The sequence below is a fragment of the Homo sapiens genome, chromosome 2 (assembly GCF_000001405.40).
Source record: "Homo sapiens chromosome 2, GRCh38.p14 Primary Assembly".
NCBI classification, from domain to species: domain Eukaryota; kingdom Metazoa; phylum Chordata; class Mammalia; order Primates; family Hominidae; genus Homo; species Homo sapiens.
Genome location: NC_000002.12, coordinates 152,684,841 through 152,708,423, shown reverse-complemented (window position 1 = coordinate 152,708,423; position 23,583 = coordinate 152,684,841). Strand labels below are relative to the sequence as shown.

The window sequence follows — 23,583 nt, the reverse complement described above, 5'->3', positions numbered from 1 at the left end:
CCAATTGTTCTGTTACCCTTTGACAGCATCCGTGGTGTAATTATAAACCACTGCTGATTATAATAAATGTAATTTATCCAATCTACGTTTTTATTAGTTGTCACTCACAAAAATATTGACTCAAATCCTGCAGCTATTTGATCTCGAGTTTTAAATTTAAGAGCATTCACATCTTGATATCCTGTCTCAGTTGCCAAAGTTTGTTTTAGGTCTTTAACTTCTACAATAGCTACCTTGGTCTTTTCATTAGATGGAGGAGGAGCAATAGTTTTGTTGTGAGAGGTTTTGGAAGAAGGCTTAGGGGAAAGTGTAGGCAGTAGGGGATCAATGCAGCATATTTCAAAGGATCCAATAGGTTCTGTTCCTGAAACCTCAGCCCCCATGCCATAAAACTGGCTTAAAGAAGGGAACCGGCTTATAGAAGGGGAAGAACTTGGAGGGTTTGAGATAATAACCTGTATTGGACAGTACTGGTTTAGCTCACAGCTAGGGGAAGCTGTTTCTTTAGTAAAGTGAATGTATGGCTTTAGGAAATTACAGCTACTGGTTGGGGCAGTTTATCCGTGCTCTTTAGTGGTCTACAGAACGTTTACAACTACTGGTTGGGGCAGTCCATCTGTGCTCTTTATTGGTCTACAGAACATTGGACCAACTGCAGCATAAAAGCTCTGTCTTGGCGGGGTGTGGGGGGCAATACTCCCAGTTGACATTGGGGTCTTTATTGAAACCTTTCCAGACTAAATGATCCCGATTCACTAATATCCAGTCTGAGCAGAGCCAGGAAGGACAGAGGTACTTTTTTGGAGTGGAGAGCTGCTTCGACGTGTCAAGTCTCCACAGGGTATAACAAGGCAAGCATCAAATATAATAGTTTGAGGCGAAATTGACTCGGTTACATTAATAATGAGGTGATCAGCAATAGAGAGGAAAGAAGAAGGAGTAATAGAATAGATGAAAGAGAGTTAAATTTTCCTTAGCTTTAGTTTGGTAGGGTTTTCCCCTGGGACTATGGCCCATGACTCTGGAGGGGGCGGCACTTTTTTGACTCGGGTGTGATGGGTCCATCCTTTTTTTGCTGTCTGGACTGTGGTTTCAGTAGTTAGGTGCACTAGGTATGGTCCTTTCCAGGCCAGTTTGAGCTTTTCGTCCTAGTTTTTGATGAGGACGTGATCCCCAGGCTGATGTTGATGTACTGGGAACTCCAGGGACAGTGCCTGTGCTAGGAGACCTTTGGTTTTAAGAGGAGAGAAAGTAGAAGATATACCAAGTATATAATTTTTAAGGAATTGGTCTTTTGTTTCAAAGGTAGGAATGTCCGCAATGGAGTGTAAATAAGGCATTCCATAGAGCATCTCGTAAGGGGAAAGATGAATATCTTTCCAAGGGGCAGTTTGGATTCTTAACAGGGCAATAGGAAGACATTTGGTCCATGGTAATCAATTCTCCAGAACCAACTTGGTTAAGTGGTTCTTCAGAGTTTGATTCATTCTTTTTACCCTCCGTGATGAAGGTGGGTGTCAAGGAGTATGATATTCCCATCTAATGTCTAGTGTTTGGGATAGCTTTTTAATGATGTGTGTGGTAAAATGGGTTCCACTGTCTGAGTCAGCATTTTCTATTAACCCAAACCTAGGCACTATATTTTTAGTAAAGGCTTTAACTACATTATTGGCTGTTGCATTTGAAAAGGGATAGCTTCGACCCAGTGACTGAGGTGATCTGTCACTAGTATGTATTTTAGACGCCCTGTTGGAGGCATCTCTGTGTAATCAATCTGGATACTTTGGAATGGACTGAAGCCTGGACTCCTTCCCATAAGGGGTAATCTTTTTATAGTTTATTAGTTTTCTTACAAACTAAGCAACTGTCTGTAACCTGTTTGGCCAGGGTATAAATTTCTGTGCTCCCATAAACTGAGGACTCCGTCACACATGGCTTGGGGCCCCCAATGGATCTCTTGATGCAGTTAGGATAAGATTTCCCTCATAAGGGGTTTGGATAACATTTCTCTCTGGTTTGGCGACATCCGTTTTCCTTCTGAATTCTCTTTAGCACCTATTGTTATTAGGGTTTTTTTTTTTCATTAGAAGAAAAAGGGGGATCACGGTAAGAGGAGGAAGGTAAGGAGTTAAGTGAAAAATAGGTGTTTTAGAGGAAACGGCAGCCTGTTTGGCTATCTGATCTGTTAGGTTATTTCCTCGACTTTCGAAAGAAAGGCTTTTCTGGTGTCTGGGGATGTGGACAATAGGTATTTCTTCTGGCAACTGAAGGTTATTCAATACTTGAGTGGTTAGCTCCTTATGAGCAAGGTCTTGACCTTTACTATTAATGAGGCCTCGTTCAGTCTAAATTTTTCAAAATGTATGAGCCACTCAAAAGGTGTACTTAGAATCTGTACAGATGGGTCTTTTCTGGTTCTGCAAGTACTTTAAGGTTTGGCTGAGTGCGAACAGCTCGCAAGTTTGGGCAGACCAATCACTGGGCAATTTTTTTGGCTCTCTTTCTTTGAGAGTTTTTCTGTCAATTACTGAATACCCATTGTGTCTTTTTCCCTCAATCACCTGGGAGGAACCATTTATAATAAGTGTCCTCCTGTCCTGAAGGGAGTTTCTCCTAGGTCTGGTCAGACATTTGTGTGGTAATCGATTAAATCTAAACCTGTGTGTTTTTTCTTTAGATTTGGATCCCCTGTTAGGAAACCTGCTGGGTTAAGCAAATTATCAGTGGTTAATGTTAAATCAGCTTTTTTTTTTTTAACGGAATAGCCTCATATACTTTTAAGATTCTTGAGTCAGCAGGCCACCTCCCTGCTTTCTGATTTAAGATAGTTCTAACTTAGTGGGGCGTGCTTACTGTCAATTTTTCTCCAAAGGTTAAGTTTTTGGTTTCTTTGACCAATACTGCTGTAGCTGTAATGGATTGGATGTATTGAGGCCATCCACAAGTAACTAGATCTAAGACTTTTGACAGGAAGGCCACGGGCTGCCGACAGCCACTGTGTTCTTGAGTAAGCACTCCCAAAGCTACCGCATTATCCATGTTCACAAAAAGGTGGTACGCTTTTCTAGGGAAGGTAAGGCTAAGACAGGGGCAGTTATGAGCCTTTCGTTCAGCTCTTTGACCTGATCGACTTCCTCAGAAGTCCACAGGAGATGGTCAGGCTTCCCCTGGGGAAGTTTTTGATATGAAAGTTTACTGTGCATATGAGTTAATCCATAAGTGGCAACATCCAGCTAACCCTAAAAATTTCCTGAGTTCTTGTTTAGTTTGAGGCAAGGGTAGGGACACAATTCTCTCAACTTGTTCGGGCCCTAGTCTGCACTTATCAAGTGGCCTAAATATTTAACTTCAGGCTCCACATACTGAAGCTTTTCCTTTGAGACTCGTAACCCCTTGAACTGCAAATGGTTAAGAATATGTGTAGAGAAGCCAGTTACTTTCTGTATGTCCTCACCAGATATAAGAATATCATCAACATATTGGAGTAGGCATATTTGTTTTGGGATGACAACTTTTTCTAATACTTGTTCTAAAATTTGACCAAAAAGGTTAGGGGAGTCTGTGAACCCTTAGGGTAAGACTGTCCATCGATAATGTTGTTTCCGCCCTGAATGGGGACCTTCCCACTCAAAAGCAAATATATCTCGACTGTCTTCAGCCAGGGGACGTGCCCAAAAAGCATCCTTTAAATCTATTACAGTAAACCATTGATGATTAAATGGAATGTTGCTGAGAATGGTGTAAGAACTGGGGACAACGGGGTGGGTAGTTTGGACTATTTGATTAATAGCTCTAAGGTCCTGTACCAGCCGGTATGATCCGTCTGATTTCTTGACTGGCAATATTGGGGTGTTATAAGGGGACATACAGGGCTCAAAAAGCCCATCTTTAATAAGACCTTTAATTATAGGTTTCGACCCTATCATGTCCTCTGGATATGGGGTATTGTTTCCTCCTTACAACTTCCCCGGGGGGTTTTACCTTGACGTGGACTGGGGAGACTCGGAGTTTCCCTCAGTTCTCCTCTTTGGACCAGACATTAGGATTAATGTATTTTTCATCTGCAGTGATGAATAGGTTAAAGAGATGAGGAATCCTCTTGGGCTGACTTGTAGGCCTATGCCTAACTTCAGCATTAAATCCCTCCCTAATAAATTAGTCCCTGCCTCAGGGATTAACAAAAACTGAATATGAGCTGATCGATCCTGGTATCTGACTTCTGTGTTTTTTAAAATTTTTCTTTAAATCCTTCTCTTTTTACCCCAGTTACCAAAAGTTCTGTAGGCAATATTAGATGGGGGGAAACAAACAGGAATGAGCCACCCCTGAATTGACCAAAAAGGTGATAAGCTCATGCTTAGGTCCCGCTTCTAGATTTATCAAGGGCTCCTGGTGGGACTCAAGATAAAAGAGACAGGGCCCCTGACCCCCGTATTCTTCCTCGAAAGTCATGAGTGGAAGGGCTTCTTTCTCCTTTTTAAATTCAGGACATTCTGTCTTGAAGTGGCCTGTTCTTCTACATTTGTAGCACCTATCTTGCCCTTACCCCCTCTCAGTTCTGGGATTCTTTGACTTTGCTTCCCCATACTCTTTAGAGGGCCTGGTAAACAAGGTCCTTAGTCCTTTAAAGGAGTATTTGGACCCTTTATGGTTCTGGCCCCTTGAAGCTCTGTTTAGAAGTATATGGGTTTGGAGTCATCTGTTGGAAGGTGGATAACATAAGTTTTGTCTTTTGTTTTTGCTTTTCTTCATGTCTTCTCACATATACTTTTTGAGCTTCCCTGAGAAGTTCACTTAGGAGATGGTCTTCCCAATTTTCTACTTTTGTAATTTTTTTTGAGATGTCTGGCCATCTTCTAGTGACAAATTGGAGTTTTAATATTCCTTGCCCAAGGGGATCTTCTAAATTGAGGCCTGCATATTGTCTCATTTGCTCTTTCAGTCTATTTAGGAATCTCATAGGCCCTTCATCCTTTTTTTTTGTTATATATCAAATGCTTTAGAGAGATTTGGGGTTTGGGGTACTGATTCCTGAATTCCTTTTATTATCATCTCCCTTAGGTCCTGCATGTTTTTATTGTCCAACTGGGGGTCTCGGGCGGGGAATTTCTGGTTCACAGTAGGAACTTTTTGACTGGGAGGACACTCACGTTCCCAAATTACCATAGCAGCCCTACGAATCACACTCCCTTCTTTTCCTGAAAAGAGGATGTCCAAGATGGACATTAACTCTACCCAAGTGTATAACTGAGGTCCTAAAAATTGATCAGTTTGATCTGTCACTCCATAAGGGTCATCTTGCAGTGGCTTAAGCTCTTTCTTTAAATTCTGGACCTCTGAACTGATTAAGGGAGCATTCACGGAGCCAATGGTTCCCCCTCTTTATGGCATTTCTCTTAAGGGAAAGAGAGCAGGGGCTGACTCTTGAGTTGTAGAGGGGAAAGGGAAGTTCTGGATATCCTTTTTACATTGCTCTATTTCACACTGGAGTCCCTTTAGGGAGGGGTCCTTAGGCTGATAGGGGACAGGCTCCTGGGATGATAATTTCTAAAAGTCAGGATTGTAAGGAGGAGGAGTAACATGAGTAGGTGAAGGATCTAGAGTGGGATCTGGGGCAGCAGCGGCTGCCTGAGGAGAGGGGTTGGGGTCACTGAGTGGGGGAAGATGGTCTAGGGGATCCCATGTGCTGGAGTCTTTGAGCATTGGAACTAACTTACCTAATTTTTCCTTTTGTGATGCTAGATCAGGTTCTTTCCTAGTTGTCTCAAAGGGAAAAAGGAGGACAGGTCCCTGCCTCCAACAAAGAGCATAGTCCATTTCCTCTTAAGAAGCTGGGCTTTTATCATTGACATATTGAATCAAAAGCTGACACATCGCACTCTCATTTGACCTAAACTTTGGCCAGAAGATTGAGGGTTTGAGGATGGGTCCCTGAGTCCAAATAAAACAGTAATTGCTGCTGCTTATGTTTAGTCTTCTCATTATCTTTCCAGTCTTTTAACATGAGACCTAGGGGACTATCGGGGCAATATCTTTACTGCTACCTTTATCCTTTTTACTCCTTGTCTTGCTTAGGGTATTTCCCATGTCAGGTCCTAGTATTAGAGACTTCTTGCCTATTCTCTGGAGGCTTGTTAAGGCTCAGTCCCTTGTATTAGAGATTTCTTGCCTATCCTTTAACCCCGCCTCCTGGAGGATCCTTGCATCCTTCTTTTGCTTTGTCCACTCTGGCTACTTCCCTCGTGGGAATTTAGGCCCCTCTTGGCATTGGCATGCCGGTATGAAACCCACAGCAGGATCCGCCCTAAGCTGTATGAAGTGACCACAGAACTGCAGATAGGACCCACTCACTCTGCACAGCAGTAGTGCTTGGTACCATTCACACAAGCAGCACCGCAAGCAGTAGTGCTTGTGATCATTCACACACACTTTCATCCTCCAGAATATCCCAACCACCAAGGAAATACTTTGTCACCCCTGCAACATTTCTTACCTTGGTCTGTGCAGAGTTACCTGGTTGCTGCAGCATGTGAGAATCCTTTTGCCAAGCTGCTGGCCTGTATCTTTTCTTGTTGCCGAGAGTCTGGGTTTATTTGTTGCACTGGATGGGTTCCAATCTCTCACACTGAGGCCACTGCAACAAGGCGATGGGATGCGCCTCCCCACAAGAAGTGACCAGAGACCGGTTCCCCGGAGGAGAATGGGAATCCTGGGTGGGCCCCCAAATTGTTGGAAGTAAATGCTTGGTGTCACAAAGTGAAAATATACTCAGGCAAAAGTTTTCTCATCAAGGCAATTTACTTCTGTAGAAGGGTGTGTCTCGCGGATGGAGCAATGGCAAGAGCACACTGGACAAGGGAGGGAAAGGGGTTCTTATTCCTAACAGCTGGTCCCTACTGTTGTGTCTTTCCCCTATTGGCTAGGGTTGGACTGCACAATCTAAACTGACTCGATTGGCTGCTGTTTGTAATTGAACACAGATATCTAGGCGGGAAGGGGAAGGCTATGCGTTATGGCGTAAGACATGTCTAGGCATGTCAGGGCGCGGCAAGGGCAGGAAGGGTTAGTTATAGCATGGATAACTACAGAAACCAGAAAAACGAAGTGGAAGAACTGGGAATTAAAACCTTTTGAAGAGGAATTTATCATCTCTGTCATGATATTTTGCATTGGTGGATTTAAAAGGAAAGCCACTTCTGCTGCTTTCTTGCTCAGTGTACTCAAAGTGGGAATCTGAATCTTCTCCCAGTCTGAATGATTCTGTTAGTCATGAAGAACTAGTGAACACTGTCTTGAGTTGAAATTCAGTTTGCTCTGTCTTAGGCTTTGGTTTTTGTTTTTATTTTAACGAAAATCTTACATTTATCTTAGACTTTGATTTTTATTTTTTATTTATTTATTTTTTTTGAGACGGACTCTTGCTTTGTCGCCAGGCTGGAGCGCAGTGGCGCAATCTCAGCTCATTGCAACCTCCACCTCCCGAGTTCAAGCAATTCCTTTGCCTCAGCCTCCCAAGTAGCTGGGACTACAGGTGCGCATCACCATGCCTGGCTGATTTTTTGTATTTTGGTAGAGACGGGGTTTCACCATGTTGGCCAGGATGGTCTCGATTTCTCGTGATCCACCCACCTTGGCCTCCCGAAGTGCTGGGATTACAGGCGTGAGCCACCGCGCCTGGCCAACTTTGATCTTTTTAAACAAAATTCACATTACATTGTGAATGGGATCCTTGTCATTAGGTCTTAATCTTAAATTTAGGCTAAGACTTTTAAAACTAGCTTTTGATAAATGAATGAGCATTAAGTTCTTGTTTGCAAACACCCATTTGGCCATGCGGAATCAAGAAAGTTGTTACTTCTTCGAAAGATGATTTTTCAGTAATCTCTAAGTCATCGTGTATTTGTGATCATATATTTCTTAGGTATAGAAAATTAGACCCTTATACTGAAATAAAGTATAAAGATTTAGCTTGATATGCTACTGAATCTAATTTGAGAGACCTGGGGAAGGGGATAATAATGGTCTTGTGTCCTTGTACACTTTTGTCTAAAAGAAGGCTTTGATGACTTTTTAGAGTAAGTTTTAAAGTCATTCTATATGGCTTGAGGCAATACAATTTTTGTGTATCCCCAGTTACGATTAGAGCTTTTTAAAATATAAAGTGATACAGTTCATTGTCATTTAGCTCTATTTCTAAATTGTGTCACATAATTTGTGTCAAGAATTATAACTGTCACCATGCTTATATAAACTTAGAGAGATTCATGTAGCCTATTGAATTTGATCCTCCTGACTGAAAAGTGGATTGGCTAGATGGATTGGATGTCCAATTTACAAATGGGAATAGGAAGGCTCAGAGAGTTTAGTGAGTTATTCAGTGACATTGCAGAGCCAGCACTAAACATGATCTTAATCTGAGATTGACTTATTAACATGGATTGGTTTCTATTGAATATTATCATGGTTTTACAATATTTTCCCTAGACACCTTAAAAGAACTGAAGTACTTGAGAGCTAGATAAGGAATAGATGAGGGAAGGGATGACATAAGATATACCTTGATTAAATGGAGAGCACTGATAATGCCTATTATATTATTTATTAAGCCCGTTTCTAAGTGCCACATCTGTATTATCCCATTTGTTCTCTATAATAATCTTATCAGATGGGTAATGTTTTTTCTCATTGATGAAGAGTTTGAGGTCCAGAGAGGTCAAATAAATTAGCCCAAGATCGCACCTTTGTTAATTGGGATAAGAATTCTTCCAGTCTTCCTTCAGACTGCATTATCTATATATATCAGTATAAGATTATGTAATTGAGTTAATTTCGTTAGACCCTGAAGGGGTTGCTGTACTTCAGCAGTTCTAAATTCTGTAGGTTGAGAAAGTTTAGCAAATTTTGAATACTGGCACTTGTTTTATTACATGGTAAGGTTCTATTCTGCATGATAACAATTTGTACAAATATTGTCTACCCTTTATTTATCTAAATATTTCTTATCAAAAAATGATGTTTTGAATTTATATTGCTCTAGATCGGGGTATCCAATCTTTTGGCTCCCCTGGGCCATTTGGAAGAAGAATAATAGTCTTGGGCCACTCATCAGATACACTAACACTAACAATATCTGATGAGCTTAAAAAAAAAAACAGCCAAAAAAACAATGTTTTAATAAAGCTTACAAATTTGTGTTGAGACACATTCAAAGCTGTCCTGGGCCACATGTGGCCCATGGCCTGCAGGTTGGACAGGCTTGCTTTAGATGAAGAGGAAGTAGGTTAAATGATTTCCACAAAATGCCACCAGTTACTTTTGGTTGCTAAGGATATTTCCATTTATTTCCGATCGAATGAATGTTTAGTTCTCTTTAAAGATTCAGTTTGTGCATTTATTCAGGATTTTTGGTATTTATTTATATGTTCATAAAATAATTTAGTGGTATATGAGATAGTTGTTTTAAAATACTAAACAGCCTTTGTAGGTTGTACTTATCTTACGGAATTTTACTTTAGCACACTTATGAAGAACCCCAAGTAAAAAGGTAGACATGAAACTTACTTAGATTATCAATTTGCTGCTACAGGTTTGCAGCAAGAATGGTTTTTAAAAAACCACCAGATTTAGGAGTTAATTTTTTTTTCAGGTGATTTTGTTTGTAATACTAGACAAGAGATACGTCCAATTGTTTGTGATTTCTTTCCGGTAGGAAAAACTTCAGTAAATAACTATGAAGGAAAGAACTTGTGAAGTCCCCATGTGAAGTTCTTCACTTTTAAGGTGCTTTCTTTTCATATCATGGTAAAATTGGACCAACTGAATTTACACTTTGTAAAATTCACTCACTGTAGCATTGATATTGCTTCATTACTACCACTTTTTATTTTCATTTTTTAAAATATGTAGAGTGATAAATGAAATATGTTTGTTTATATCTAACATTAGAAACTTTCTGGGATGCTCAGAATGACTGAACAGGTTGTGTGATGCTCCCTAGTGTTTTGTTCATTTATTTTTTATTTTCCTCAAACTGATGATTCTTCTGAGAACATCTTGATAATTAGTTTTATACGTATTAAAAGAATAGGAAACAGAAATGGTTTACATAGTATAAATATACATATGGTTGGCCACTTATGAATTGTATAAAATATATATCAGCTACGTTTTTTAAAGGTGCCAAATTGTTCATAATATTCAGATGTTTAACATTTTAGGAAATTTAGTTTATGTCTCAAACAACTAAAAATTTTTAATTACAGCACTTTTACATATAATACCAAAGTTGTTTAAATGGGAATTTGTAAAGCAGTACATGGTTTTGATTTTATAGTATGCTTCACATTAAGTAAATATGAACTCTACCACTTTGTAGCCTTAAGAATGATGTGGCTCATGGAATTTGTTGTGGCGTTATTGTAGCAACTAAGTTAATAATTTTTCACCTTCAGTATTTTGAAGCAACATCCCATTTTCATTGAACTTAAATGGAGAGACACAGTATTACATTTGTGTGCCACATAGTGCCATATTGGTAAATGACAGACTACATACACAATGGTGGTGCTGTTAGATCATATACTACCTTATTTTTACTATGTCTTTTCTATGTCTAGATATACAAATACTTAGCATTGTGTTACAGTTGCCTCCAGTATTCAGTACTGTAACATGTTATAAAGGTTTGTAGCCTAGGAGTAATAGGCTATGCCATAATAGCCTAGATGTGTAGTAGACTATAACCATCCAGGTTTGTGTAAGTGCATTATATGATACACAATGATGATATCTCCTGATGACACAATTCTCAGAACATACGGTCATTAAATGACACATGACTGTATTTTATGTGCCCCTAAAAGTGGGAAAAAAAAAACACCTAAATGGAAAATCTGAAACTTACTCAACAGATAAAGTTGAGACACCAAAGGGCTATACCCTCCATGGAAAGAAGAACTATACCTACCATGCCAGAGGAGACAGTAAAGAAATTTGAATGTTTTAACTCTTATTATTGGGATGAGGGAGGAAAAAATCACGTCTGAGGAGTTGAGCCGTAGCCAATTCTCATAAGTTTGCATCCTGTATTCCCATTAACAGTAAGTGTTATAGATAGCTTAGAAACTTTTAATGGTCTCAGATTGATGGTGCTGCCAAAGTGACTGGCATAAATCAACACAAATTCTTTAAAAGATTCAGCTTCAAAGAAAGAGATTATAAAAAGTATCTCTATGTTATGTATATCCTAGAATTAATAGAAAATGGGAATCATAACATTGCCACAAAGTAGGTTTTTTAGACTTTGAAAAACAGACTTTTCTGGGATGCTCAGTCCTCTAAAGGAACTCTAAATTTCTCAAATTCTTACAATAGTTTTTCATACAAAATACAGTATTTTGCATATTTGTGGTTTTGTTCTTTGGTTTTATGTAAACATCACAGTTTTGGTTTAAATTACATTAATGAATGATCGATTTACTCTCAGGATATTCAGTTATATTTAATTTAGGACTTGCAGATTAGTTTGTTGGGTAAAACAAGATTAACTAGTCTTCACCCCCAGTATTTACAGAGATACCAAGGGAGAATGTAGCTTTTTATTTGACATTAAATCTCATTCTATAATCAATACCATGATTTCCAGTCTGAAAGAACATTTTTGAGGTGTTTAAACATTTTAGGTATGGGAAGAAGAACAATTAAAGAGAGAACTCTGTCAGACTCTATGTTCTTCAGTGATTTTCAATTACTGCCTACTGGAGGTCTCATTGGCCTGGTCTACTAAACTCTTAAATATTTGTTTTTTTGTGGCTTTGGTTTTAAAGAAGATTTTATCTTTATGTGTGTGATAAAGTCAGGATATTTCAATTTGAATTTATATTTATTTGTACAGTCTGCTGCTACCATAAGAGAATTTTTTTTTTTTTTTTTTTTTTTTTGAGACGAAGTCTCTCTGTTGCCCAGGCTGGAGTGCAGTGGCGCAATCTCAGCTCACTGCAGCCTCCGCATCCCAGGTTCAAGTGATTCTCCTGCCTCAGCCTCCCAAGTAGCTGGGACTGCAGGCGCGTGCCACCATGCCTGGGTAATTTTTTGTATTTATAGTAGAGACGGGTTTCACCGTGTTAGCCAGGAAGATCTCGATTTCCTGACCTCATGATCCGCCTGCCTTGGCCTCCCAAAATGTTGGGATTACAGGAGTGAGCCACCACGCCCGGCGAGAGACTGTTCTATTGCATTATGCAGATTTTACTCTACTTTAAAAAATACCTTTAATTCTTCCGAGAAGTTACTTTGATTAGTTTTTCTCTCTAAGTTTTCAGACCTTGATCTCAATTTAGCTTAGAATTCTAGTTTTGGTTATGTTACTAGCTTTTGATTTTATATGTAGGTTACTTAAAGTAGCAGGCAGTTTCCCTGTTGCCTGTCATGCATCTTGGTTGCTTTCCCACACAACCAGTTACCTGATTCAGCGTATTTTACATTGGCCTAAAGCAAAATTAATTATGAGGATATATCTGTTGGCGGGAGATGTATGGGCTGGGAGTAAGCCTAGTTGTAGTTCTTTCTCATTTGATTGTTGTATTTTTTCTCCTTACTTTGTAAATTATTTATCTGATTCTCTTAGTCTGGATGATGGAGGCTTGCCAGTGCTTCAGTTTTCAAATTCTATACCTTAGAAAAAAATACATATTATTTGGACCATATTCCAAGTCAGCCACCACATTCTTATAGTCACAATTTTTGTCAAAAAGTTCTTGTTTAATGATGTTTAGACAGTTTATTGGTTGTTTTTAACCCATTAACTCAATGCTACTTTATTTTAATAGGTACTTTAGCCTCGTTTAGCTTCATGGGTTACTTTCACAAGGAATACAATTCAGTGTATGAATGTTCTTACATACCTTTAAAAGGCTTCAATCTATATGTTCCTGCTGGCCATATGCTTATTCTTTTCTGTTGTTTCTATTTCTCAAAATGTTCATTTACTTTGAAATTGTTTAATAACTGGTTACCTTGTTCCAATACCTGTGATTATTGTATGTAATTTTTGTCCCCTTCTGAATTTCCTTAGATCTTTTTAATGGTCATTAAAATCAAAATTGGAACGTGGGATTATACTAATATAGATGAACATTGGGTCAAATTCTTGAGAAACTTGTGTTAATTTTCAGGATTTATATTCAAACTTAGTAGAATTAATTCATAGATTTGAATGGTAGTTATTGGTAAACTAGATTGAGCTCCCAAACTAATACCTTCAGATATTTATGTATGTGCCTTAAGTTTTCTGTACATGAGAGGGGATAAATGACGTGTGACTTAAAAAGGGTTTTTTTAGATTATTTTTTAAGTCATTGTTTGGATATTAAGCACCTTTGATCTAGGATTTTGAAATGTGCCACATTGTAAAATTTATTCAGTGCATATATTAAAAATCAAAGGTGAAAAATACAGAAAAAATTTTATCTTAAATTCTCTTGCTCCAAAGAAGTGAGAAAAATATGAATGTTGTGTTATAACTAAAAGGAGATTAATGTTTTTTTAAATTCAGGCTAGAAATAACATAATAGTCCAAACTTTTAAATTTACTTGTTAAAATAATTTTGACCATATATATAAACTGTGACATAAGTATTAAAATAGATTATCGATAAAGTACTTCATTCATTCAACAAGCACTTACTAAGCATACTATTCACATGGTGTAGTGTTTAGTGGTTTTAAATCTTAAGTTATGGGATTCTTAAAGTCATATTAAGTGCTTTGGTCTTATGGTAACCTTTTTTTACTTTTATTTTAGATGCCTGGAATGATGTCGTCAGTAATGCCTGGAATGATGATGTCTCATATGTCTCAGGCTTCCATGCAGCCTGCCTTACCGGTAATCATGTGAAAATAACTATTTTCTGTGAAGTAATGTTTTGATTGATTGCTTTTATATATATGGAATAATATCTATGTATTTTATAGGCAATCATGTTAGCTGTTGAAGTGCCTCTGTAGTACTGTAATAAAATACAAGAATTACCGTGGACTTTCAGTTTCAGTTTCTTTTCTTTTCTTTGTTTTTTTGAGACAGAGTCTTGCTCTGTCACCCAGTCTGGAATGCAGTGAGTGTCATGATAACAGCTCACTACAGCCTCAACCTCGTGGGCTCAAGTAATCCTCCGACCTCAGCCTTCTGAGTAGCTGAGACCACAGGCACGTGCCACCACGCCGAGCTAATTTTTAAATTTTTTTTGTAGAGATGAGGTCTCCCTGTGTTGCCTAAGCTGGTGTCAAACTCCTGAGCTCAAATGATCCTCCTGCCTCGGCCTCCCACAGGGATGACAGGCATGAGCCACTGTGCTTGTCCTGGATTTAGTTTCTATAACTACAATGATAGACGTTTACATTTTTTCCTATATTGATATTATATGTACATCCTTAATTACTAGGTTAATTCTGTATTAAGACCAGAATACTGAAAAGTATACATTGTGAGCCAGAAGCATTTTATTGGTCTGATAACATTTAAGTTTTAAAGGGTAAACATTTACTTCACTGAACGCTAATTAAAAATTGGTATAATGTGATTTAATACTAGATTTAGGAATCAATATTTAATTGGAAATCCACGTTCTGAGACTTCAGCTGTGGCAAATTAATTAGAAAATCTATTGAACAGCCTTACCACCTCTGTCGGGTAGTATAGCAATATAAATTACTATGAAATTCAAGTTAGTTTAACTTCTTTATTCTTTATGTGGTTGTGGTTGTAATAAACAGATGTGGCATACTCCTTGGGGTGGTAAGTTTGCAGTGTCTTTCCCAAAACCCTAAGACCAGATATATTTCAAAAATTCTTTATAATACTGGAAAGTAACACATTGCATATAATATGTAAACATTTCCTGTGGGGTCCAGGGCAATGCTGTCTAACTTAATAATGTTAATATTTTTGCAGCTAAACTAAACGGATATTCACTCTGAAGTGGGATAAATGAAGATGTGGAGTTTCATGTTCATGTAGGGCAGGTTTTGCCACTATAGTGAGTTTTGGTACCATACTTGAAAAAAGTTGGCTTTCAGAGGGTTTTGGTTTCCAGAATTGTGGGTAAAGGATTGAGGACCTTGTGTACACTTGGTGACCATATAACATTTAAACTACTCCCGTAGTCTCGGTTGCTGATCTCTTTTACAATTTATAGCAAGCTCGGGGAACTGAGACCACTAAAAGTTTTGCTAAGAATATGAGTCAGAGGCTTGAGGATTATACATAGCAGGTACTGATTTCACTGTGCTTTATGAGGAACTTATATAAAATACACTTTTAAAAAGATGAATAATACTAATTTCATTTTTCTTCTTACAGCCAGGAGTAAATAGTATGGATGTAGCAGCAGGTACGTATACTCTGTATGGTGGTATGTGTTAGACCTCATTTGGACAGTAGCAGCCCTATTATGAGGAGTAAAAGCAGGATCTCTTGGACTTTATATAACCTCCTTTTTCTTTTTTCTGCAATAGGAAATTGGGATAGGATTGATAATTGAATTCTGTTTTTGTTGTTGTTTTTTTGAGACGGAGTCTCACTCTGTCACCCAGGCTGGAGTAAGTGGTGCAATCTCGGCTCACTGCAGCCTCCGCCTCCCAGGTTCAAGCGATTCTCCTACCTCAGCCTCCCAAGTAGCTGGGACTACAGGCACATGCCTGGCTAATTTTTGTATTTTTAGTAGAGACAGGGTTTCACCATATTGGCCAGGCTGGTCTCGAACTCCTGACCTCGTGATCCACCCACCTCGGTCTCCCAAAGTGCTAGGATTACAGGCATGGCCCACCACACCCAGCGATAATTGAATTCTTAGGAAATTTTTACAGTTTTAGGTCAGGAGTTCTGGACCCAATTTGGTCTGCAGATATACTTTGGCCCACACAAAGTTCTTCAATTTTGTAATTATCGCTAACATTTATAGTCTGCAGATTTTGAGTTTGAATTTATTTTGAAAAGTTGGATGATCTGACTATTCAATACTTAACAGTAGTCCTGTCAACACAGTAGGTGCTCAGAGAATATACGTTAAATGAACTCTGGTTGAGTTGATATTTGTACTCAGCAAACACTAGAATGACGTAGTGGCTCCATTCTTTAGGTGTTTAGTCTGGGCTCTCCTTGGGGTTCTAGACTACTTCAGAGTTACTTTTCTGTCATCTCCTTGGCCCTTGTATTAATAGCCATTGGAGTAAATATCAGTTCCCAATAACTGGCCATTTTGACTAGTGAGATTTTAATATATAATAGTAATGCCTCCAGTATCATGATTACATAGTTTTCCACATAAATTGATATTCCAGATGCCGAACTTTATGACACAATTATGACAATATTTTTTTTGTTATAAACAGTATTGGTCGAAAGGTGTTGAAAATGTACTGTGTGCCTTTCTGTGGGTTCAAATGGGACTAAATTGATTTTTTTAAGATGTTTCACAGATTTCATTATTTAAAATGTTCTTAAATACCTAATACAATTATTTTCTTTTATTTAGATATCCAGAGCTGGGTACTGTTACCCTCAGTAATCTTGGAAAATTACATAATTTTTTTTTTTTAGTTACTTTTAATACGCTTTGGCTCTACAGTTATTTTCTATAGTAGCTTCTTTTGAGTGTACTCAGTATATATGAACTTTGTTTTGTTTTGTTTTACATACAATCTCCGTCTTTTTTTATTTACATGTTTAAATTACTAGTTTCTAAAGTTTGAGATTATTATTAGGAGTTTTGTGACTAACATGCATTTCAAAATCCCTTGAGTTTTCTATAGTAGTATAGGACAGTACCATCTAATAGAACTTTCTGCAGTGATGGAAATGTTCTGTAATCTGTACTGCTTAATACAGTAGCCACTAGACACATGTAATTATTGTGTATTTGAAGTGTGGCTGGTGCAGCTGAGGAACTGAATTTTTAAAATTTTATTTAATCTTAATTTAAATTTTAATTTAAAGGGATGTCTGGTGTCTGCTCGCTACTGTATTTTACAGCACAAATCTGGAATTTAGATAAAGTTACCAGGAATCTAAAGCTATAGAATCAGTGGTTAGAGGTGTTATTGTGCTTTGGTAATATACTTAGTAGAGAAGGAGGAATAAGAAAGATAGATACCTATTATAGTAGGGAAAAGAGAAACAAAAGGCTAAGTTGAATACTTATCAAACTGCCTCCAAGTGAGTCCAAGTAAGTTTGTGCATTGAAAGTTCAAACTCTGAGCATGTTTTGCACTATAGATGTTTATTTTGTGGGAAAGATAGCAAGCACTTAGGTTATATGAGACAGTCTCAAAATCTTTAGAGAGGATGAGGAGGAGTAAGTACTATGAATATATGAATAAATATTAAAGCTATTATGAAGGAGAGCATGATTTATCATGGTGTAAATATTTTGCCTGTTTTTTATTTTTTAGGTACAGCATCTGGTGCAGTAAGTACTCTTTTAACCTTTGTAATATTTTAATTTTACTATACTTTAACCTACTTTACAGTTATTCTTATTTCTGTTCTAAGGATTATCTGCTAAATCTTTACATTAATCCATAGTTTTCCCCTTTTTTTCTATGACAAGGATTGAAAAATTGATTTATTTTAAAATCTGGTTTTGGTGGGACTTAATGAGAGATGAGAATTACATGTATCAACTTTTAAAAGGATTTAAATTCTTCCCATCACAATTAGAAGGGAAGCAGAACTTGTAGGTACACAGTGCTTAACCTAGTAATTACAAGTTAAGCATTACATTAGGAGATAATCTTTTTTTTTTTTTTTTTTTTTTTTTTTTTTTTTTTTTTGAGACACAGCCTTGCTCTGTCACTAAGACTGGAGTGCAGTGATGAGATCTTAGCTCACTGCAGTCTCCGCCTCCTGGGTTCAAGTGATTCTCATGTCTCAGCCTCCCGAGTAGCTGGGCTACAGGCGCCCGCCAGCATGCCCGACTAATTTTTATATTTTTAGTAGAGGTGGGGTTTTGCCATGTTGGCCAGGCTGGTCTTGAACTCCTGGCCTCAAGTGATCTGACCGCCTTAGCCTCCCAAAGTGCTGGGATTACAGGCGTGAGCCACAGTGCCCGACAGATGTTAGATGATAATTTTACATATATATATATATGTATGTATGTATGTATATATAAATGAAAATTTATGTACCTTAATTTAAAAAACCCTTTTGTTATACCTTCTTAACACTGTGTTAGAAAGAAAAATGGAATATTCAGAATAGCATTGATTTTTATTTAGGAAAGGAGAGAATAATATTTAAAGATAGCTATTTTATGCTTCTTGATATTAGTCCATGCTTTAGCTTCAAGGATTTTTTTTTTATTTTGCTATTCCTTAAAGATCAATGGAAGGAAGAGTTTTGTTTATAATCTCATTTAATCATAACGTTCCTGAGAGGTAGCTGTTATGCTACTGTTACAATTAACGGAATTGATTGCAAATACGTTATTTTTCGCATTTGGGGAGAAAATTTTAAATTAAGAATTGTATTTAAATGTTTTTAAAACATTCTTGTGTCTTTTGCCTTAAAAGTTAAATGGTTGCAAAATATCTTTTTTTTTTTTTTTTTTTTTGCTTGTTTGTTTGTTTTTGAGACAGAGTCTCTGTTGCCCAGGCTGGAGTGCAGTGGCTTACTGCAACCTCCGCCTTCCAGGTTCAAGCGTTTCTCCTGCCTCAGCCTCTTGAGTAGCTGGGACGACAGGCATGTGCCACCATGCCTGGCTAATTTTTGTATTTTGTAGAGATGGGGTTTCACCTTGTTGCCCAGGATGGTCTTGAACTCCTGTCCTCAAGTGATCCGCCCACCTCGGCCTCCCAAAGTGCTGGGATTACAGGCATGAGCCACTACGCCCAGCCCATTTGGTATTATTCTACTATAAGTACCTGCTTTTATTTTTGAGAAAGGATAACTTAATGGTTTGTTTGTTTGTTTTCTTATTTAAGTAATGCAGGCTCATTGGGAGGAAAACAAAGCAGACATAAGTTAAAAAGAAAGTAAAATTCATCCTTAATTTTTTGACCATGAGGGAACCACCATTAATATCTTATCTGAAGATCTTTTTGCATGTTACTTAAGCATAGACAAATACATACACATTTTACATAATTGGTTCACATTACATATGCTTAAGTTACTTGTTAAATACACTTTTTCTTGTTTAAAACTTTATTGTGAAAATCTGTGTAAGTTCCTTAATGTAGATGTAATTTTTTAAATGACTTTATAAAGTATTCTTTGCCATAGAGACACATTAAACCATTCACTTATTAATGGAAATTCAATTTACATGTTGGATCCCCTCCCAATTATGAATTTTTTTTTTTTTAACACCTAAGAAGTATTCCAGGAATAACATATTTGGAATGGAGAGTATGTAACTAGTCATGTTGTTTTTCAAGAATGTAAAAGACATATCTAATAATGGTGTAGTAACATGTCTTTTTCTTCAAGAATCTCTAGCAGCAATAGCCAGTATCACTTATTTGAATTTTAGTGAGTGGACATGGGTTTAAAGTGATAGTTCTTCTTTGACTCTTAATGAGATTGAACATTTTATTTGGTATTTGGATTTCTCTTCTGTTAACCTATCCCTGTCCTTTCCTGTTTTTAGGTTGGGTTATTTTTTATTTTTTCTTGTAAATTTCATTTTAAGAGTTTTTTCTAATGTTATTGATGTTAACCCTTTAATAATCATGAATTTCAAATATTTTTCTTAGTCTGTCATTGGTCTGTTGATTTTGCTTTTAATGATCTTGCCACACAACCTTTTAGTATGTTAATGTGGTAATTAGATAGGTTATCATTTTTAGCTAATGCGTTTATTGAAGTTTTTACAAAGGTTTCCTCATTCTTACATTTTCTTGGAAGATTCTTATTGCTTTATTTATCATTAAGTGTTTGATTCATCTGGAATATCTGTCTATAAGATGGATAGCCAGTTGTGTCAGCTATCAAAAAATTTTTTCTGACTTTAATTGAAAGCTCTTTATTGTCATATCTTAAATTCTCATATATTCTGGGATTTATATCTGTGTTTCCTTTTCCACTGTTTATTTCTGTTTGTGTTTTTCTAAACCAATATTAATACTTTTCCTGGCCAGGTGCAGTGGCTTACACCTGTAACCCTAGCACTTTAGGAGCCAGAAGTGGGAGGATTTCTTGAGCCCAGGAGTTTGAGATCAGCCAGGGTAACATGGTGAAACCCCATCTCTACAAAAATACAAAAATTAGCCAGGCATGGTGGCACACACCTGTAGTCCCAGCAACTTGGGAGGCTGAGGTGGGAGAATTGCTTGAGCCCAGGAAGATCCAGGCTGCAGTGAGCCGAGATCACGCCACCACCGCACATTAGTAGGGAGACCCCATCTCAAAAAAAATCTTTTTTTTCTTTATTAAGGGGTATGTTTTTCTTGGTTTCCAGACATGGGACTTTTGTTTAAAAAATAGATAACTGTTTTTTTAGAGCAGTTTTAGGTTTATAGCAAAATAAAGTGGACAGTTGAGTTCCCAGATTATAGGCCCCCCCACCCCAACACATAACTTACTGCTCTCCCACACTGTCAGCATATCACACCAGATTGGTGCATACGTTACAATTGGTGAATATACATTGACAAATTGTTACCATCCAAAGTACAGTTTATATCAGGGTTTACTGTTAATATTGTACATTCTATATATTTTGACAAATGTATAATGAATATGTATGTATCAGCCCTTGCAGTATCACACAGAATAGTTTCATTGCTCTAAAAATTGGTGCTCTGCCTATTCATTTCTTCCTCTTCTACTCCAGCAACCATTGTTTTTGTTTGTTTGTTTGTTTGTTTTTCTGCCTCCGTAGTTTTGCTTTTCTAAGAATTTCATATAGTTGGAATCATACAGTATGTAGCCTTTTCAGATTGGCTTGTTTTACTTAGTAATATGCATTTAAGTTTCCTCCATTGTCTTTTTATGGCTTGATACTTCATTTCTTTTTCTCACTGAATAATACTCATTATCTGGATGTACCACATCCAGATCCATTATGTACTGAAGAACGTTTTGGTTGTTCCCAAGATTTGGTCATTATGAGTAAAGCATCCATGTGCAGGTTTTCTGTGTGAACGTAAGTTTTCAGCTAATTTGGGTAGATATTAATAACGAGGAGCACTATTGCTGGATTGTGTTGTAAGAGTATGTTTAGTTTTGTTAAGAAACCTTGAAATTGTCTTCCAAAGTGGCTGCACCACTCTGAATTCCTAACAGCAATGAATGAGAATTTCTGGTATACCACACCTTCACCAACATTTGATAATATCAGTGTTTTGGACTTTTGCCATTTTAGTAGGTGTGTAATGTATCTTGCTTTAATTTGTGGCTAATTATATGTGATGTGGAGCATCTTTTTATTTGCCATCCTTACATCTTTGGGAAAGTGTTTCTTTGGATCTTTTGCCTATTTTTTAATCAGATTGTTTTATTATTGTAGAGTTTTGAGATAACAGGTTTTTATCATATTAAGTCTTTTGCAACTATTTTCTCCAAGTTTGTGGCTTATCTTCTCATTCTTCAGACTATCTTTAACAGAGCAGAAGTTTCTAACTTTAATGAAAACTAAATCTGTTCTTTCAGCCTATCAATTATTTCATGGATTGTATCTTTGGGGAACTTTTTTTTTTATGAGCTATCCTTATTGCATTATGATCAGAAAGTACAGTCTGTAAGATGTAAAGTTCTTTACAGTTTATTAAAGCTTCATGTATGTTCTTGTTCAGGGCTAGTTTTTAAGAATATTCTGTGTGCTATATAAAGTTACTTTGTTATTCCTGCATCTTGGCATGTCTTTCATCTGCTTGGATCTACATAAGAAGATAGTGAATTAAAATCTTTAACTAGAAAAGATGAGTCATCTGTTTCTCCCTGTATTTTTCTGTTGCCTGTCTGAATTTCAAGGTTAAATTGCCATATGCATATGTGTTTAGGATAATTTTTGATCTGTTACTTTTTACCAGTATATAGTCTCCCACTTTTCCATTATGATTTTTGTTTTAAATTCTGTTTAGGTAAGGTAAATAGGTACCCTATTTTTAAAGTTTCTGTTTGCATTGTAAAAATGTATTACAAGCCTGGAAAACAAAGTGAGACCCTGTCTCTACAAAAAATAAAAAATTAGCCCAGCATAGTGGTGTGTATCTGTAGTCCCAGCTACTCAGGAGGCTCAGGAGGGAGGATCTTTTGAGCCCAGAAGCTTGAGGCTGCAGTGAGCTGTGATCTTGCCACTGCACTCCTGCCTGGGCAACAGAGTGAGACCCTTTCTCAAAAAAAAAAAAAAGAAAAAGTTGTTACATTGTGAGTACAGTATTTTTCCTATTTTTATTTTAACCTGGTTATCGTCTATTCAGATTATTTTGTGTATTTGTCTTGTAACCAATGACATTACCAGATTTCCTTATCAATTCAAATAGTATTTTAAAACTGTAACTAGATTTCACTGGAATTTTATATGTGTAAAAATAGCAGTAAAGGCAAGAGAACTTTACTTCTCCAAAATTTACACCAGTAATTTCATTTTATTGCTGTGGTATATTTGCTAGAATTTTAGTGATTCCAGGCATGTTTTTGTGATTTTAATGGAAGTGGCTTTAGGGTGATAACTGATTGCCTTTTAATCATTTAGGTTTTTTATTTCTTAAATTATTTCATTTGAGCATTTTGCTTTTATTTTTTTATTTTTTGAATACTTGTGAACTTAGTTTTCTGGGTGTGATTTGATCATACAAAGTTTAATAGTGGGATCACGTGTTTTTTTTTTTTTTCATTTGATTAGATAGTGGAAATAATTTCTTCTGTAGATTTTCTAATATTGAACTACTCTTGCACTTCTACAGTAAATTCTGCTTGGTCAGAGTGTGTATGTTGTTAAATTTAAATTCATGATGCTCTTCTGGTATCTTTTCTGCTTCTTGTTAATTAATGGAGAGCATTTCATCTTTTTTTCCCCATAATCTGAAATCATGATGTAACATTGCAATTCTGTGTTCTTTAAAGGTTGTATAACATTCTGCTGTGAAACCATCTGGTTTTGTATCTTTCTGTTGTGTCTGTGTTGTTGGGATGTTCAAGTGTGATGTGCTTTTTCTGGGGTCAATTTTGGTTAAGTGATTTGCTTGGAAATCATTTTCTCTAGGTTTTGATTGGTTGTAAATCTGTATCTGTGATTGTATTTTTCCTCAATTCTGTTTATTATTTGGCTTTTTCTTTTTTTTTTTTTTTGAGACAGAGTTTTGCTCGTTACCCAAGCTGGAGTGCAATGGTGCGATCTTGGCTCACTGCAACCTCTGCCTCCCGGGTTCAGGTGATTCTCCTGCCTCAGCCTCCTGAGTAGCTGGAATTACAGGCGTGTGCCACCACGCCTAGCTAATTTTTTGTATTTTCAGTAGAAAACGGGGTTTCACCATGTTAGCCAGGCTGGTCTTGAACTCCTGACCTCAGGTGATTTGCCCATCTCAGCCTCCCAAAGTGCTGGGATTACAGGTGTGAGCCACCATACCTGAACGGCTTTTTAATAT

At 37.1% G+C, this 23,583-nt stretch overlaps 1 protein-coding gene across 28 annotated transcripts in view, besides 5 other annotated features; it reads left to right on the top strand.

The window, feature by feature from the left end:
* Positions 1-23,583, top strand: part of PRPF40A (pre-mRNA processing factor 40A) — a 66,288-nt gene that overhangs the window by 9,596 nt on the left and 33,109 nt on the right. For 26 of the 28 annotated variants that reach the window (NM_001395477.1, NM_001395479.1, NM_001395473.1 and 23 more), the window contains 3 exons: positions 13,802-13,882; positions 15,356-15,386; positions 17,446-17,462. In NM_001395477.1, coding sequence (NP_001382406.1) covers positions 13,802-13,882; positions 15,356-15,386; positions 17,446-17,462 — 129 coding nt within the window. Of the gene's footprint in view, positions 1-13,801; positions 13,883-14,947; positions 15,387-17,445; positions 17,463-23,583 lie in introns of all 28 variants that reach the window. The other 2 variants (NM_001395483.1, NM_001395480.1) reach the window with 2 other exon arrangements.
* Positions 5,462-5,963: an enhancer, noted in NCBI's record as "H3K4me1 hESC enhancer chr2:153558975-153559476 (GRCh37/hg19 assembly coordinates)". NCBI's record gives its function as "activates a minimal SCP1, AML or CMV promoter by ChIP-STARR-seq in naive H9 embryonic stem cells {active_cell/tissue: H9 hESC(naive)}" and the evidence as "EXISTENCE:reporter gene assay evidence [ECO:0000049][PMID:30033119]".
* Positions 6,236-7,435: an enhancer, noted in NCBI's record as "MED14-independent group 3 enhancer chr2:153557503-153558702 (GRCh37/hg19 assembly coordinates)". NCBI's record gives its function as "activates an origin of replication core promoter dependent on BRD2, BRD4, P300/CBP and CDK7 cofactors, and independent of MED14, by STARR-seq in HCT116 cells {active_cell/tissue: HCT116}" and the evidence as "EXISTENCE:reporter gene assay evidence [ECO:0000049][PMID:35650434]".
* Positions 6,236-7,549: a biological region, named in NCBI's record as "MED14-independent group 3 enhancer GRCh37_chr2:153557503-153558702".
* Positions 6,922-7,549: an enhancer, noted in NCBI's record as "H3K27ac hESC enhancer chr2:153557389-153558016 (GRCh37/hg19 assembly coordinates)". NCBI's record gives its function as "activates a minimal SCP1, AML or CMV promoter by ChIP-STARR-seq in primed H9 embryonic stem cells {active_cell/tissue: H9 hESC(primed)}" and the evidence as "EXISTENCE:reporter gene assay evidence [ECO:0000049][PMID:30033119]".
* Positions 14,016-14,065: an enhancer, noted in NCBI's record as "active region_16650". NCBI's record gives its function as "activates an Ori minimal core promoter by ATAC-STARR-seq in GM12878 lymphoblastoid cells {active_cell/tissue: GM12878}" and the evidence as "EXISTENCE:reporter gene assay evidence [ECO:0000049][PMID:35858748]".